Source organism: Homo sapiens, chromosome 18, assembly GCF_000001405.40.
Source record: "Homo sapiens chromosome 18, GRCh38.p14 Primary Assembly".
In the NCBI taxonomy this organism is placed as follows: domain Eukaryota; kingdom Metazoa; phylum Chordata; class Mammalia; order Primates; family Hominidae; genus Homo; species Homo sapiens.
Genome location: NC_000018.10, coordinates 54,213,582 through 54,228,770, shown reverse-complemented (window position 1 = coordinate 54,228,770; position 15,189 = coordinate 54,213,582). Strand labels below are relative to the sequence as shown.

Below are 15,189 nucleotides of genomic sequence, written 5' to 3'. Positions count from 1 at the left end.
ACAAGTTTTTGGGGAAGAAGCCTGGACCCAGATGCCAGCTTTAAATAACAGGGGAGTCTAATTACTTCTAAATTCCTCACATAAGGAGTTTTGCCTCTGGATGGCCTGCTTGATGGTCACTAGGTGATCTCTGCCCCCTTCATACTACAAGCACTTGCACTGGAAAGTGTCATTTGGCCTCCTGACATGCTGTGCCTGGGAATTAGGTGAGAACAGTAGTTGGGCCAACCTAGTGAATCATAAAACCTGTTAATTAGTGCTGGAAAATGTCCTCCCCCCACCACCCCTGGCTGTGCCCTTACTCCTATGTAATGTCTTGATAAATTCTGACCTTACTGTTTGGAGTCTAAGAGAAAAAAAGCCTAATGTCCCTGTTACCCCTTGATGCAAAAATGCTCATTGAAAAAAGTAAGGTTTTCCAATATTTGAAACGTTTTTCTGGCTGGGTGCGGTGGCTCACTCCCGTAATCCTAGGGCTTCGGGAAGTGGGGCGGGAAGATTGCTTGAGCCCAGGAGTTTGAGACCGGCCTGGGCAATACGGGGAGACTCCCATCTCTACAAAAAAAAAAAAAAATTGTCTTAATTAGCTGAGTGTGATGGCACGTACCTGTGGTACCAGTTACACAGGAGGCCAAAACAACAACAAACCAATAAACCAATCAACCAACCAAACAAAAAACCAAAAAACAAAAACCAAACCAAACCAAACAAACAAACAAACCAAAAAAAACACCTGCTTTTATTGGGTATTTTATCACACTCAAAGATTTAAACGCAGGTTATATATTTGACAAAATATATAGTTCTCAAAATCAGTCTCACCTCCTAATATTCTTTGAAGTTTCATTACCTGAATTTGTTCTAATTTTCAAAATAAAAATCCAAATTAACAGCTTTCTTTAAAACAACTTTTTCTTTTCTTTTCTTTTCTTTTTTGAGACTGTTGCTCAGGCTGGAGTGCAGTGGCGTGATCTCAGCTCACTGCAAGCACCGCCTCCTGGGTTCACGCCATTCTCCTGCCTCAGCCTCCCGAGAAGCTGGGACTACAGGCGCCCGCCACCTCGCCTGGCTGATTTCTTATATTTTTAGTAGAGACAGGGTTTCACCGTGTTAGCCATGATGATCTCGATCTCCTGACCTTGTGATCTGCCTGCCTTGGCCTCCCAAAGTGCTGGGATTACAGGCGTGAGCCACCGCGCCCGGCCACAACTTTTTCTTTAATGGCTTAACTTCATTCAGCTTTACCTGCTAAACAATAAAGGGAAAAATCAAAGAAAGAATAGTCTTCTAGGGGTGACAGTTGGTGTTTTAGCACCTGCCTTTATACCTGGGAGGCAGAGATCACAGGTGGTTACATCTCTGTTGTTCATTTAGTGGACCAGATTTCATACATAATCCTATCTTGCTTTTGTCTTTCACTTTCTCCAAGAGATAAGCTAGCAAACCTTCTCCATTGTAAGAGAGACCAAATTGAAAATTTGGTCACAACTTTACTACCCGAGAAAAATAACGTTGCTATGCTTCCTGGAGGAGTGATAGAAAATGCAGTTTCCGAGAATTATAAAAGGTTTATTATTTGTCCAGTATTTTAAGAGAAACAAAGGGGTCTGTCTCTCAGGTATTTAGCATCTATTCTTAACCCTTTTAGATCTCAATCTAGTCCCCTTTGGAATTTATTGTTGCCTTAATTGGAGTATTTTTTTTTCTTTTAGTGGGAGAATAAATAAGAGCATTTATTTTTATTTTATATATATATATATATATATATATATTTTTACTTTGCTCTATGGTATCACAGCAGAAAAGTTCAAGTGTAACCAAAAAGCTTTTGACATGTCTAAATGAGATTTTTCTTAACAGAGGGAACATTAAGCTACATCTTCTGGGATTTAGCAAATGGAATCTGGTAGTAGAAGTTAAAATAATGACCCGAAAATCCTGTGATTTATTTCTTTAAGCATGCTTTTATATCCAATATATCATTTGATCTACAGCCTTATTAGCACAGCATGAAAAGGTAGAATTTTCCAAAAGCATACCTGTTCCCATCTGTTGTCTCAACTACCTGTCTCAATTACCGTTTCTACTGAGATTTTTGCTCATGTTTACCCTTTACTTTCAATTATGTGTGAAAATCAGAGTACTCTCTTATGTCATACAAACTTTAATATCATTTTTTTCCTTTATTCCTTCAGTGGAACCTTAAGTATTGGCATTCCTCAAGATTCAGTTCTTGATCCTCTTTCCTTTTATTATTAACCACGCAAGCCCTTCCTTGGAGAGCTTACTTACTTCCAGGGCCTCCTTCAACTGTCACTTTCACAAATGACTTTTTTTTTTTGAGACGGAGTCTCGCTCGGTTGCCAGGCTGGAGTGCAGTAGCGGGATCTCGACTCACTGCAATCTCCGCCTCCCGTGTTCAAGCGATTCTCTTGCCTCAGCCTCCCGAGTAGCTGGGATTACAGGCGCACGCCAGCACGCCCAGCTAATTTTTGTATTTTAATAGAGATGGGGTTTGACCATGTTGGCCAGAATGGTCTCTATCTCTAGACCTCGTGATCCGCCGGCCTCGGCCTCCCAAAGTGCTGGGATTACAGAAGTAAGCCACCGCGCCCGGCCACAAATGACTTCTTTTTTTTTTTTTGAGACAGAGTCTCGCTCTGTCTGCCAGGCTGGAGTGCAGTGGCGTGATCCAGTTCACTGCAAGCTCCGCCTCCCGGGTTCACGCCATTCTCCTGCCTCAGCCTCCGGAGCAGCTGGGACTACGGGCGCCCGCCACCACGCCCAGCCAATTTTCTGCATTTTTAGTAGAGACGGAGTTTCATCGTGTTAGCCAGGCTGGTCTTGAACTCCTGACCTCAGGTGATCTGCCCGCCTCTGCCTCCCAAAGTGTTGGGATTACAGGCGTGAGCCACCGCGCCCGGCCCACAGATGACTTCTAAATGAATGTCTCCAGTACTGATCTCCTCAGAACTCATTTCTTGATGATTTTTTACATTCACATTTCTAAATTTCTTGTAGGAAACCACAAATTAGTGTCTTTCAACTAAAGGACATTAAAAGAAGACTAAGGTCAGGTTTAGAGACAGACAAGTTTGTGTGTATGAGTTAATGTTTGCATATACTGCAAAGATAAACCAAATTAATTTTAGATTTTTGTTGCTTTATATTAATCAACTTTTTCTATACGTTAAACTTGGTCCTCAGTTTTTAGGGCATATGAGTATAGAAACCCAAGATAGCTTATCATCAGGCTGATAACATGTGCTTTACATTTTTCAATCTTCCAAATATTTCATAATATATTATCTTGAATATCAATAGCACACTTCTATAAGTGTTCGACAACTTATAGAAAATATGCATTTCTAAAATTCAAGTTGGCAGACCGAAAAGAATACCACACAGTTTCCTAAAGGCTTGTGACAGTAAGTTAGGCTGGACTTTCAACATAATGGAATATTTACCAAATAAAAGGCCACTGATTTTTGTATTAGACAAAGACATCTGGAAATTTCTAGATGGATTTAGGGATTCTGGTCATTCTAAGGAGAATCTAGAGGTAAGCCCCATCTGACTCATGGGCATATTCCAAGTTATCATTTCCTTTCCTACATCCTTACAAGGTTCCAGGAGAATCTGTCAATGGCTCTGAAGCCAGGCTCAGGAGGGAACTGGTATTCAGCGAATGGGACACTTTGCTTCATTCCTTCATTATAAGCTCCCCTGCAAGCTTTGTGCAGAGGGGCGGGAAAAGGGGCTATCACCCCCTTAAATGAATAGCCGAGTTGGTATGTAATATAAGATCTATTTTGCTTGTTATTCATTAATTGGGAAGCAAACATAGGTAAAATCACATAATGGTGGAGGTTACCCCGTTTGAAACAAACTAACCACAGTCACTATGACACCCCCAGCTGGTGGCTAGCCCGACCAACCTTCCCAGCTCCGCGCGCCCAGTGGGGGCCGGAAAAGCGCGGGAGGGGGCGTGGCCCCGAGAAGGCGGAGACAAGATGGCCGCCCATAGCGCTTGGAGGACCTAAGAGGCGGTGGCCGGGGCCACGCCCCGGGCAGGAGGGCCGCTCTGTGCGCGCCCGCTCTATGATGCTTGCGCGCGTCCCCCGCGCGCCGCGCTGCGGGCGGGGCGGGTCTCCGGGATTCCAAGGGCTCGGTTACGGAAGAAGCGCAGCGCCGGCTGGGGAGGGGGCTGGATGCGCGCGCACCCGGGGGGAGGCCGCTGCTGCCCGGAGCAGGAGGAGGGGGAGAGTGCGGCGGGCGGCAGCGGCGCTGGCGGCGACTCCGCCATAGAGCAGGGGGGCCAGGGCAGCGCGCTCGCCCCGTCCCCGGTGAGCGGCGTGCGCAGGGAAGGCGCTCGGGGCGGCGGCCGTGGCCGGGGGCGGTGGAAGCAGGCGGGCCGGGGCGGCGGCGTCTGTGGCCGTGGCCGGGGCCGGGGCCGTGGCCGGGGACGGGGACGGGGCCGGGGCCGGGGCCGCGGCCGTCCCCCGAGTGGCGGCAGCGGCCTTGGCGGCGACGGCGGCGGCTGCGGCGGCGGCGGCAGCGGTGGCGGCGGCGCCCCCCGGCGGGAGCCGGTCCCTTTCCCGTCGGGGAGCGCGGGGCCGGGGCCCAGGGGACCCCGGGCCACGGAGAGCGGGAAGAGGATGGATTGCCCGGCCCTCCCCCCCGGATGGAAGAAGGAGGAAGTGATCCGAAAATCTGGGCTAAGTGCTGGCAAGAGCGATGTCTACTACTTCAGGTACCTCCCTGGGGGCGGGGAGGGGGTGGCGGGGTCAGGCCGGGGTCAGGGGTCAAGAGCGGGCCTGGGCAGAGGATGAGCGCTGGGGCCCGGGGGGCATGTGGCAGGGACAGGCTGGTTTGGTGGTGGAAGGTGGCGGAACCCTTGGGTGAGAGTTGACCCCAGTGCGGTGGGAGGCAGTGTCAAAAGGTGAGGGCCCGCAGGAGGGCATCTTATGTGGAAGGCGTCGGGGAAGATGGTTTGCGAAGAAAGGGTTAGCCTGGCAGGGATGGTTAGTCCACTGAAGGGTTAAAAGGAGGTGTAATTCATCGAAACTATAAAACCCAGTCACTGTTGGCTCCTGTCCCAGCCTGTCCCAGATTCATCATCACAAGTGTTAAGCATGCACATGTGGAAGAATGAGCTATCTACAGTAACAAGGTTTCATTTACTTCATCCAAGAAAGTTTTGTATAAAGCAGCTATTTGGAATGCCTGAAGTTTTTTTGGAACTTCTTGGTATTGCAGAATATACTCTTTTGAAACTGACACACTGTACTAAGTTTTTAGACTCCTAGACCAAAATTTGCTCCCCAGGGAACATTTGTCAATGTCTGGAGACATTTTCGGTTCTCACACCTGGGGAGGGTGTGATACTGGCATCTAGTGGGTAGAGGCCAGAGATGCTGCTACATATTCGATAATACAAAGGAAAGCTGCCACAACAAAGAATGATCTGGCCCAAATTGTCACCTGTGCTGAGGTTGAGACATCCTGTTTTAAATGATTCAAGGTTTTTCACCTTAGTGTAATCTTGCAATCCCGTGGTCATGCTGCTGATGTCTTCAGTTTGTGTGACCCAGTAAGCTCAAGAAAGTGCCTATGGCAATTGACATCCGTGGACTTAATACACATTTACTAAATTTTGTAATAAGCCATGCTATTGATAGAAGATAATATAAACTTGTATTCAGTAGTTTGGAGGTACGTGTTTGTGGACTGACTGAAGCATTTTTCAGGGAATGTATATGGGTATTGGAGACAATTGTCATTTAGCTATTGTAATAATGTTATAAAGGATTTCCTGTCCTCTTCAAGTAGCTCTGGGAAAATGTGTCTGTACACATACCATGCTTATGAACTAAAAATACTTTTAACTAGATTGAAAAGGTTAAAGAAATGTACATACACATATATACATACATATGCACACACAAGAATGTGATCACTGCTGGTGCAGCATGTAAATACGAACACATTCCTGATGGTTGCTATATATGGATGAGTAGTTGTAGTAAGTTCACTTCACCTCAACTAAAAAATAAAAGTGATGTTTCATAGAACTTAGTCTTCCACTTGATCTGGACCCTCATCTTGAAACCTCATATGATAAAATGGAGAACTTCTTTTAAACATAAGAAGGTAGTAATCACCTGTGGTCCCAGTTACGGGGCTGGGGCGAGAGAATCTCTTGAGTCCAGGAGTTCGAGGCTGCAATGACCTATGATTGTGCCTGGGCAATAGAGTGAAACCCCATCTCTTTAAAGAAAAAAAAGAAAAAGTGTGATAGTCTTGGTTTGTATTTCCTCATCATTAAATATTTGATTTAATGGTAAGAAAGTTATTGTGAGCACTTTCACAGGTCCTCCCTCAGGCTGTGGGGCCAGGATTTGGTAGCTGGTGCTGAGAGAAAACCTTTGTTGGCATCCTTGCCCTGGGACTGTGCCAGTGGCAGCTGTCATTCAATGGGACAATTTCTTCTGATTAAAAAAAAAGGTTATTGTGGTTAAAAAAAGATTAGTTTTCTCAAGTTCATTAGTTTCATTTAGTGCCGTTCACAATTGTTCGTTTTCTAGTATTCTTTCATTAACAGAGCATTCTGTTTTCTTTCTAAGCAGGCTGTCTGCATAACCTTCTGTGAACTATGTGCTGATGTCTTGTAGGCAATTATATTTGACAAGATTATTCTGTATCTGTGATTGAACTCCTTGAGGAATAGATGACTAGGCTATTCTCAGTAGAACATCTTAAACTTTGAATTTTACTCTGTGGCAGTTCTCCTGGGATATGGTTTGTTTGGTTTTGGGATGATGTTTTTGTTCAGACTGACTTTGGGTATTGCAGAGCTTTTTGTTTGTTGGTTTTCCTTGTAGTTGGAAAAGTTATTTCAAGAAGTCAGATTGTTGTAGTGCTCATTTGGATTTGTGGCCACTTAACATTTTCTTGGATGTTGTGTAAATTTTCTGATGTTAAATTTATTTTATTTTTTTTGAGATGGAGTCTAGCTCTGTCGCCCAGGCTGGAGTGCAGTGGTGCGATCTCGGCTCAGTGCATCCTCCGCCTCTCGGGTTCAAGTGATTCTTCAGCCTCCCAAGTAGCTGGGACTACAGGTGCCTGCCACCATGCCCGGCTAATTTTTGTATTTTTAGTAGAGATGGGGTTTCACCATATTGGCCAGGCTGGTGTCGAACTCCTGACCTTGTGATCCACCTGCCTCGGCCAGTGCTGGGATTACAGGTGTGAGCCACCAGGCCTGGCCATTAAATTTTTAAATACAAACTTAATAATTTTTTTTTTTTTTTGAGACGGAGTCTTGCTCTGTTGCCCAGGCTGGAGTGCAGTGGTGTGATCTTGGCTCACTACAAGCCCTGCCTCCTGGGTTCACGCCATTCTCCTGCCTCAGCCTCCCGAGTAGCTGGGACTACAGGTGCCCACCACCACGCCCAGCTAATTTTTTGTATCTTTTAGTAGAGACAGGGTTTTACCGTGTTAGCCAGGATGGTCTCGATCTCCTGACCTCGTGATCCACCCGCCTTGGCCTCCCAAAGTGCTGGGATTACAGGTGTGAGCCATCGCGCCCGGCCCCGATATGATCAATTTAAAACAAACTTTCTAAACAAATTCATCTTAAGGCAAGTCGTAAGCCACTATAGTGGTAATTGCTCTCTAAAATGAAAGTCTTTTTCTGGGACATTGCAGCATGATTTGCCTTTTACTTGTTTATGTAAAATGGGAAGGACACATTGAACAGATTTGTGCCAAACCTGTTTCATTCAGGGCCAAAAGGAGCATTGTCTGCTGTTTATTAACTGTCTACAGAGGTTCCGTTACTTTGCAGGATTGTTAACAACCAGTCTTGTTTTTCTTCTGAAACGTTACATTCTGAGTCAGTAAGGTGTATGTAGCGTAATATGATAATTGTGATACAGTAGTTAATTTGACTTGTGACTGTAGCTTTCTGTGATGAATGATGGCAGTCACTTATTGTAAAGGAAGACAAATTATTTTTCAGCTTACAGTGTCACTGCTTTACATATTAGTGTCCCCATATTTAAAAATTCCATTAGTTCACCAAACACCCACTATCTGCTAAAAGTGGGTTAAGAGTTAATTCTCCTGTTGGTAATGTGAACACCTGCACCCAATTGTTCACACAGATTCTAATAATACTAACCCTTGAATTAGCCTGCCCCTGGGGAGATTAATTTAAACAAATCTGTGCCTGTTAATGTAGGGTGTGGCAGGCACTTATTAATTGGACTGAAATTAAGCTCATCGAGAAAGCCTCAAATTTTGGTAGTATGTTTTTTGGGTGCTGTTTTGAAACTGCCAAGTTCTAATAGGAAGGCGTGCCCCTAGTTGCCAGTTAACGCAATATAATTATGCCTTCTGTCAGGATTACTGATAGTGTTGTGGTGGTTCATATATTATCATCTAGTGTGTTTGTTTAAAAGGGTGTGGTTTGATTGGATCCATTGGTATATTTTCTGAAAAAGTTTGTTGCCATCATTTGAACAATAACTTTCTAACTTGTCTACTTGACTCCTGTCATTTCTAGTTGCTTGCATAACACTTGCTGATTGATATTTTTGAGATATTTTCTTCCTCACATAGTCTTTTAGTAGCCCCCTCTTGCCTTTTTTAAAAAAATCAAGTCTAGGTCGGTCGCTGTGGCTCACGCCTGTAATCCCAGCACTTTGGGAGGCTGAGGCGGGTGGATCACGAGGTCAGGAGATCGAGACCATTCTGGCTAACATGATGAAACCCTGTTTCTACTAAAAATACAAAAAAATTAGCCAGGCATGGTGGCAGATGCCTGTAGTCCCAGCTACTCGGGAGGCTGAGGCAGGAGAATGGCGTGAACCCAGGAGGCGGAGCTTGCAGTGAGCTGAGATCACGCCACTGCACTCCAGCCTGGGCGACAGAGCGAGACACAGTCTCAAATATACATATGTGTGTGTGTGTGTGCCATTTGTTGCTAAAGACTAGTATGATGCTTCAAGAGCATGAATTCTGAATCACTGAGGTTCAACCATGCTCCTCCCCTCACCTTGGTTTGCCTTTAAAAACAAACAAACAAAAAATAAATGGACCCTCCATGTAGTATCTAGAAAACTGACTGAGTGGACCCAGGTAAGCAATGTGACTATTGTCATAGTTCTTACATATTTGTGTTAAAGTCTTCTTGGATTCCAATAAAAAGCCTTTTCTGATATTGTCTTCTTTCTCATAATTCCTATGTAGTTAAACTTGGTGTCCCTTGTATAACTCTCATATTCATTTACTTAGAACTTGTGGCTTTCTCACATAGCTGTCTTTCCCCTCGACACAATGCCAAACACTCAGATGCTAAATAAGGGTTTACCAATTGATATTCCACCTAACGTTTTGTAAAACAAGCCTTAAAATGACTTTGTAGTTTTTGCTTTATTTCTGTTCTTGTGGTGGTGTGTTGGGATAAAATTGGTTGAGGTATTTTATTAATAAGGCTATGCATTTTGTAGTTTCTAATTTTCATCATCAGTGTGAAGGTACTGTGGAAAGCCTTTTTCTGGAATTTTGAATATTAGAGATACAGTGAAAATGGTAAATAGGTTGCTCATAGTGCACAGACACAAGTGAGAAATCGGCATTTGAATTTCATCGACTGTGTAACATCGGGTATAGTAGTGTAGGGTCTTCTGTGCCTTAATTCTATGTGTATTTGTGTTACAGCTCTCAGAATTTTGGCACCTATTAGTAGTATTTTGCTAAATGCTTTACATGAGCTATCATACTGGATTTTTTTTTTTTTTTTTGAGACGGAGTCTTACTTTGTCACCTAGGCTGGAGTGCAGTGGTGCAATCTCAGCTCACTGCAACCTCCGCCTCCTGGGTTCAAGTGATTGTCCTACCTCAGACTCCTGAGTAGCTGGGATTACAGGTGCACACCACCACGCCTGGCTAATTTTGGTATTTTTAGTTAGAGACGGAGTTTCACCATGTTGGTCAGGCTGGTCTTGAACTCCTGACCTTGAGATCCACCTGCCTCAGCCTCCCAAAATGCTAGGATTACAGGCGTGAGCCACCGCGCCCAGCCTATCATACTGGATTCTTATAACCCTATGAAACAGGTACAGTTATCTCCATTTTACAGATTGGGAGTTAGCAAAGGGAAGTAGTGTGCTTGGGGTTGTACAGCTAGTAAGTGCAAAGATACAACCTGAAGCTGGTGGTTTAACCTCAGAACTCCTAACCACCATGCTCTGTTGCATGGCATAGAGATCCCTACTTGTATTCTCAAATATTGCAACACCCCATGTCTAATCTACTTTATTGGGCTTAGTGTGCCATTGAGATAATGTGATTATTTACTATTACACTTGTATCCTGAAGATGTCAAAGGGTAAATTTTAAATCCTATTTGGTAGTGAAGCTATTGTACCAAAGGATAACCCTCCAGCTTTAAATAATCCTGGAGGGGAAAAAAATGTAATAAATCCACATAATTAAAGCAGTATTGTTCTGAGTAATAAAAGTGATCAATTTGTTCAGAAATATTCTCTCTTTGATAAATGTTCAACCTAGGATTAACCCTGTTATTTCTCAGATATTGAGGTTTGAGATACAGTTGAAATATACCGTACAGATCAATTTTTTAAAAATCTCTAGTTAGAGAAAGGAAAGAAATCCAATATTTATTAAGAGCTTAATTGCATAATAGAAAGTTTGGCTTGCTTTAAGTCTTTTCTCTTGATGTTGTGTGATTGAAGCCTGCACCCAGAAATGAAAGACATAGGTGTGGTGGAGATTGTGCTCTGATATATCTTCCTTAGCTGTACTATCACATCTTTTTGTGAGATACCAAAGGAATTTTTGTTAGGGTGCAGCATTGCTGTCTGTCCTACATCTGATTTTTAGAATCTGACATGCAAAGTCTCACCTGCCGCAACACCCACAATACTTGTATTAGAGGAAATACATAGCTCAAAGGAACTGATGCATATACATTCTAAAAATAATCTCCAACAGAAATTGGTAGATTTTTTCACATTGCTTTTAAAAATTTAGTTAATGAGATATCATCATTTTTTTCATAATTTAGTTTTAATGGAATGTTAAAGGAAGTGATGCTTTTTTTGATTTTGGTTTTTAGATTCTATAGTGGGGCTCATAGAAATTCATAACTTTTTTACTCATGTTTAAAATCTTCTCAAGACATGCATGATGAATTAGAAATAAACCATAAACTCTTCCTGGATTTAGTGTTTGGCTGGGAATCTTAATGCCTCTTACAGCTCTTATGTATTGATCTTTCATTGTTCTTTGCCATTTCCAGTGAGAAACGATTAGGAAAATTTTGTAATATGGTGTTTTACTTAATTTTATCAGAACTTCTAAAAACTAAAACTTCCCAAGGAAGGAGAATAAAAATATGGAATATAATGAAGTTTGAATAATATCTGCAGATTTCATGATTTCATCCTGTCTTTGTTCTCAGTATAATACAAATTCAAACTCATTTTGGGAACTTGATGTACATAAACTCTATGTGAATATAAATAATAAAATTTAAAATTAGATTTTAAAATTGAACACTTCGCATTTCTCAGGAGTAATCGAGTGTTTTACAGATGTGAGGAAGAAGAACATCGTCCCCTTTAATTTTTTATTTTGTTTTGTTTTGTTTTGAGACGGAGTTTCGCTCTTGTTGCCCAGGCTGGAGTGCAGTGGCGTGATCTCCACTCACTGCACCCTCTGCCTCCTGGATTCAAGTGATTATCCTGCCTCAGCTTCCCAAGTAGCCGGGATTACAGGCATGTGTCAACCATGCCCAGCTAATTTTGTATTTTTAGTAGACGAGATTTCACCATGTTGGCCAGGCTGGTCTCGAACTCCTGAACTCAGGTGATCCACCTGCTTTGGCCTCCCATAATGCTAAGATTACAGGCATGTGAATGCTGAGATTACAGGCATGAGCCACCGCGCCTGGCCCATCATCCCCTTTTGAAGATTTTTTTTTTTGAATGCTGTGTCTTGGTATTCTTTTCTTTGTTATTTTTATACTGGAAGAATGCATGGATAAGCAAGGATGCGTGTCCTTAAAATTCTTTTTAACAGGCATTCATCTCTTTTAAAAAGCCTTTCCTAGAGTCCCCTAGCAGAAATGGGAAACTCCTATGGCATTTGAGTATTACTCTGTTAACTCTTATCACATTTGCTTTAAGAAATAGTTGGCAAGTCTTTGTTACCCATGAGATTCTGAACCTCCTCAGTGTCAGGAGCTGTGTCTGATTCATTTTTGAATCTTCAGTATCCAGCATAGTCCCTGGTATAATATGGAACGTTTTTCATAAATCTTCGCTAAGTGAAGCAAACAGTAAATACATTTCTCTATTAATCCAAAAAGTTATGGTTAATCTGGCTGTATACATAGGCCTGACTCCCCTTATAGGGGCTGCAGTTACCAGCATCCTGCCTTGCACTAAATCAGGTATACAAATATTGAATAGCTGAAGTAAATGTAATTTTTTTCCTCAAACTTGTGTGTGTGTAGTGTTGATGTATATATATTACCTAGGCTTTTAGGTCTAAAATGATTTATAGGACTTTTGGTTTCATTTTTAATATTAAAATTCTTTTATATTTTGCTTGAAAAAAATCTATCTTCAAGGGCTGGATGCGGTGGCTCACGCCTGTAATCCCAGCACTTTGGGAGGCCGAGGTGGGTGGATCACCTGAGGTCAGGAGTTCAAGACCAGCCTGACCAACATGGTGAAACTCCATCTCTACTAAGAAATACAAGAAAAAATTAGCCGGGCATGGTGGCAGGTGCCTGTAATCCCAGGTATTCAGGAGGCTGAGGCAGGAGAATCGCTTGAACCTGGGAGGTGGAGGTTGCAGTGAGCCGAGATTGCACCATTGCACTCCATCCTGGGCAACAAGAGCGAAACTCTGTCTCAGAAACAAACAAACAAAAAAAAAAAGGCCGGGCTTGGTGGCTCACACCTTTAATCCCAGCACTTTGGGAGGCCGAGGCAGGCGGATCACGAGGTCAGGAGGTCGAGACCAGCCTGACCAACATGGTGAAACCCCTTCTTTACTAAAAATACAAAAATTAGATGGGCGTGGTGATGTGTGTCTGTAATCCCAGCTACTCGGGAGGCTGAGGCAGGAGAATTGCTTGAACCAGGGAGTTGGAGACTGCAGATTGCAGCTAGCTGAGATCGCGCCACTGCACTCCAGCCTGGCAGCAGAGGGAGATCCATCTCAAAAAAAAAAAAAAAAAAATCTATCCTCAGAAATTGCTTTTGTATCATCTTGGGAGGCTATGTTTCTATCTAGTTTTAACTAATTTATTTTTTGTTTTGCTGTAAATGTGAAGCGTTTGTTCGAGTGGTCTGTATTAAAAAAGAAGAGAAAAATGAAGTAAAAGTGAACATACAAAAAACATGTTGCAACTTCTTAGTACCAGATTCCTGAGTCACATAAACTTACCCTGTCAAGTTACCATGACAGTTTCCAAATGCTTTCTCTACACTTGTGGACTTACTTGAGGACCAGTAAGTTTGCACACAGACCACACTTTGGTTGTCCTGGTTTAGAATAAACAATGGAGACTTTTGAGTCAGAAGATCGGGGCTTGTATCTTGCTTTACTGTGTTAATCTTGGATGGATAAGTTTTTGTAAGCTTTTGTTTCCTCAACTATAAATCTAGTGTAAGAATTCTACCTTGTGGAGGCCGGGCGCGGTGGCTCACCCCTGTAATCCCAGCAGTTTGGTAGGCTGAGGCGGGTGGATCACGAGGTCAGGAGATCGAGACCATCCTGGCTAATGCTGTGAAACCCCATCTCTACTAAGAAATACAAAAAATTAGCTGGGCCTGTTGGCGGGCGCCTGTCGTCCCAGCTACTAGGGAGGCTGAGGCAGGAGAATGGCGTGAACCCGGGACGTGGAGCTTGCAGTGAGCCAAGATCGCACCACTGCACTCCAGCCTCGGCGACAGAGCGAGACTCCGTCTAAAAAAAAAAAAAAAAGAATTCTAAAAGAATTCTACCTCGTGGAAATTTTTTGAGATTAAATGTGCTTGCCATGTGTAGGTGGTTAGTGCATCAGTAAAATGTTAGCTCCTTTCTCTTCGTTTAATTAGCCAACAGAAATAGAAGCGCATGCTTGGTAATTATGTGAAGGTTTACTGTATTTTGTTGTATTCTGAAATGTGATTAGGGCAGACCTTAGGTTATAAAGGTTCCTCAGAGTTTTAAAAAAATATTATGCATAGGTCAGGTATGCTGGCACATACCTGTAATCCCAGCACTTTGGGAGGCTGAAGCAGGAGGATCACTTGAAGACAGGAGTTTGAGACCAGCCTGGCTAACATAGTGAGACTCCTGTCCCTACAAAAAATTTTTAAAAATTAGCTGGGCATGTTGGCCTGAGCCTGTACTCCCAGCTACTCTGGAGGCTGAGGTGGGAGGATTCCTTCAGTCGAGGAGTTCAAGGCTGTAGTGAGCCACAATTGCTCCACGCCACTGCAACCTGGGCAACAGAGTGAGACCCTGTCTCTAAAAAAAAAAACAAAACAAAGAAAGAAAGAAACAAACAAAATATATATATATGTATAGTATGTATGGGTTATAAAAGTAACCCCTGCTCAGTGGGAAAGTTGGGAAAATATAGAAGAGTATAGTGAAGTAATGACAGTCATTATTATAGTCCCAAAGAGAACTACTGTTTTATCAGGCAATGTTTGTTGTTAAAAAAAAAAAAAAAAAAGAAAGAAAGAAAAGAGAACCACTGCTAATTTTGACATAGTAGCTTCCAGTCTGGTTTTTGGGCATATTTGTCTAAGTAAATATTAATATGTGTGTGTATGTATATATGTAAGATATATGTGTAAGGATATATATGTGTATACACACACACATATACCTACATACACACACTTGTAATTATGGAAAAGTTCAGACATAGGCAAAAATAGATGGAAAAGTATAATGAATCCCTATATAGTCATCCAGTTTCAACAGTTACCAGCTCCTGGCCAGTCTTGCTTTATCTGTATTCACCCCGTTCCCCCTAGTTATATTTTGAAATAATTCCCAAACATACTTAATTTCTGACAGTGTCGTAGCAGTGTCTAGTCCCCAATTCAACCAAAATAACCAGTATTTTTCTTTTTTCCTTTCTCAGAAAGC

At 42.7% G+C, this 15,189-nt stretch overlaps 1 protein-coding gene and 1 non-coding gene across 3 annotated transcripts in view, besides 3 other annotated features; both read left to right on the top strand.

Annotated features, from left to right (window-relative positions):
- Positions 2,178 to 2,718: an enhancer, noted in NCBI's record as "H3K4me1 hESC enhancer chr18:51752423-51752963 (GRCh37/hg19 assembly coordinates)". NCBI's record gives its function as "activates a minimal SCP1, AML or CMV promoter by ChIP-STARR-seq in naive H9 embryonic stem cells {active_cell/tissue: H9 hESC(naive)}" and the evidence as "EXISTENCE:reporter gene assay evidence [ECO:0000049][PMID:30033119]".
- Positions 2,719 to 3,261: an enhancer, noted in NCBI's record as "H3K4me1 hESC enhancer chr18:51751880-51752422 (GRCh37/hg19 assembly coordinates)". NCBI's record gives its function as "activates a minimal SCP1, AML or CMV promoter by ChIP-STARR-seq in naive H9 embryonic stem cells {active_cell/tissue: H9 hESC(naive)}" and the evidence as "EXISTENCE:reporter gene assay evidence [ECO:0000049][PMID:30033119]".
- Positions 4,012 to 4,401: a silencer, noted in NCBI's record as "silent region_9470". NCBI's record gives its function as "represses an Ori minimal core promoter by ATAC-STARR-seq in GM12878 lymphoblastoid cells {active_cell/tissue: GM12878}" and the evidence as "EXISTENCE:reporter gene assay evidence [ECO:0000049][PMID:35858748]".
- Positions 4,102 to 15,189, top strand: part of MBD2 (methyl-CpG binding domain protein 2) — a 73,064-nt gene continuing 61,976 nt past the window's right edge. For both annotated transcript variants that reach the window (NM_003927.5, NM_015832.6), the window contains exon 1: positions 4,102 to 4,753. In NM_003927.5, coding sequence (NP_003918.1) covers positions 4,212 to 4,753 — 542 coding nt within the window. In that variant the 5' untranslated portion in view covers positions 4,102 to 4,211. The remainder of the gene's footprint in view (positions 4,754 to 15,189) is intronic.
- SNORA37 (small nucleolar RNA, H/ACA box 37) lies at positions 6,359 to 6,487 on the top strand. The gene has a single exon (NR_002970.1). It is a non-coding gene; the product is annotated as a small nucleolar RNA, H/ACA box 37 (small nucleolar RNA).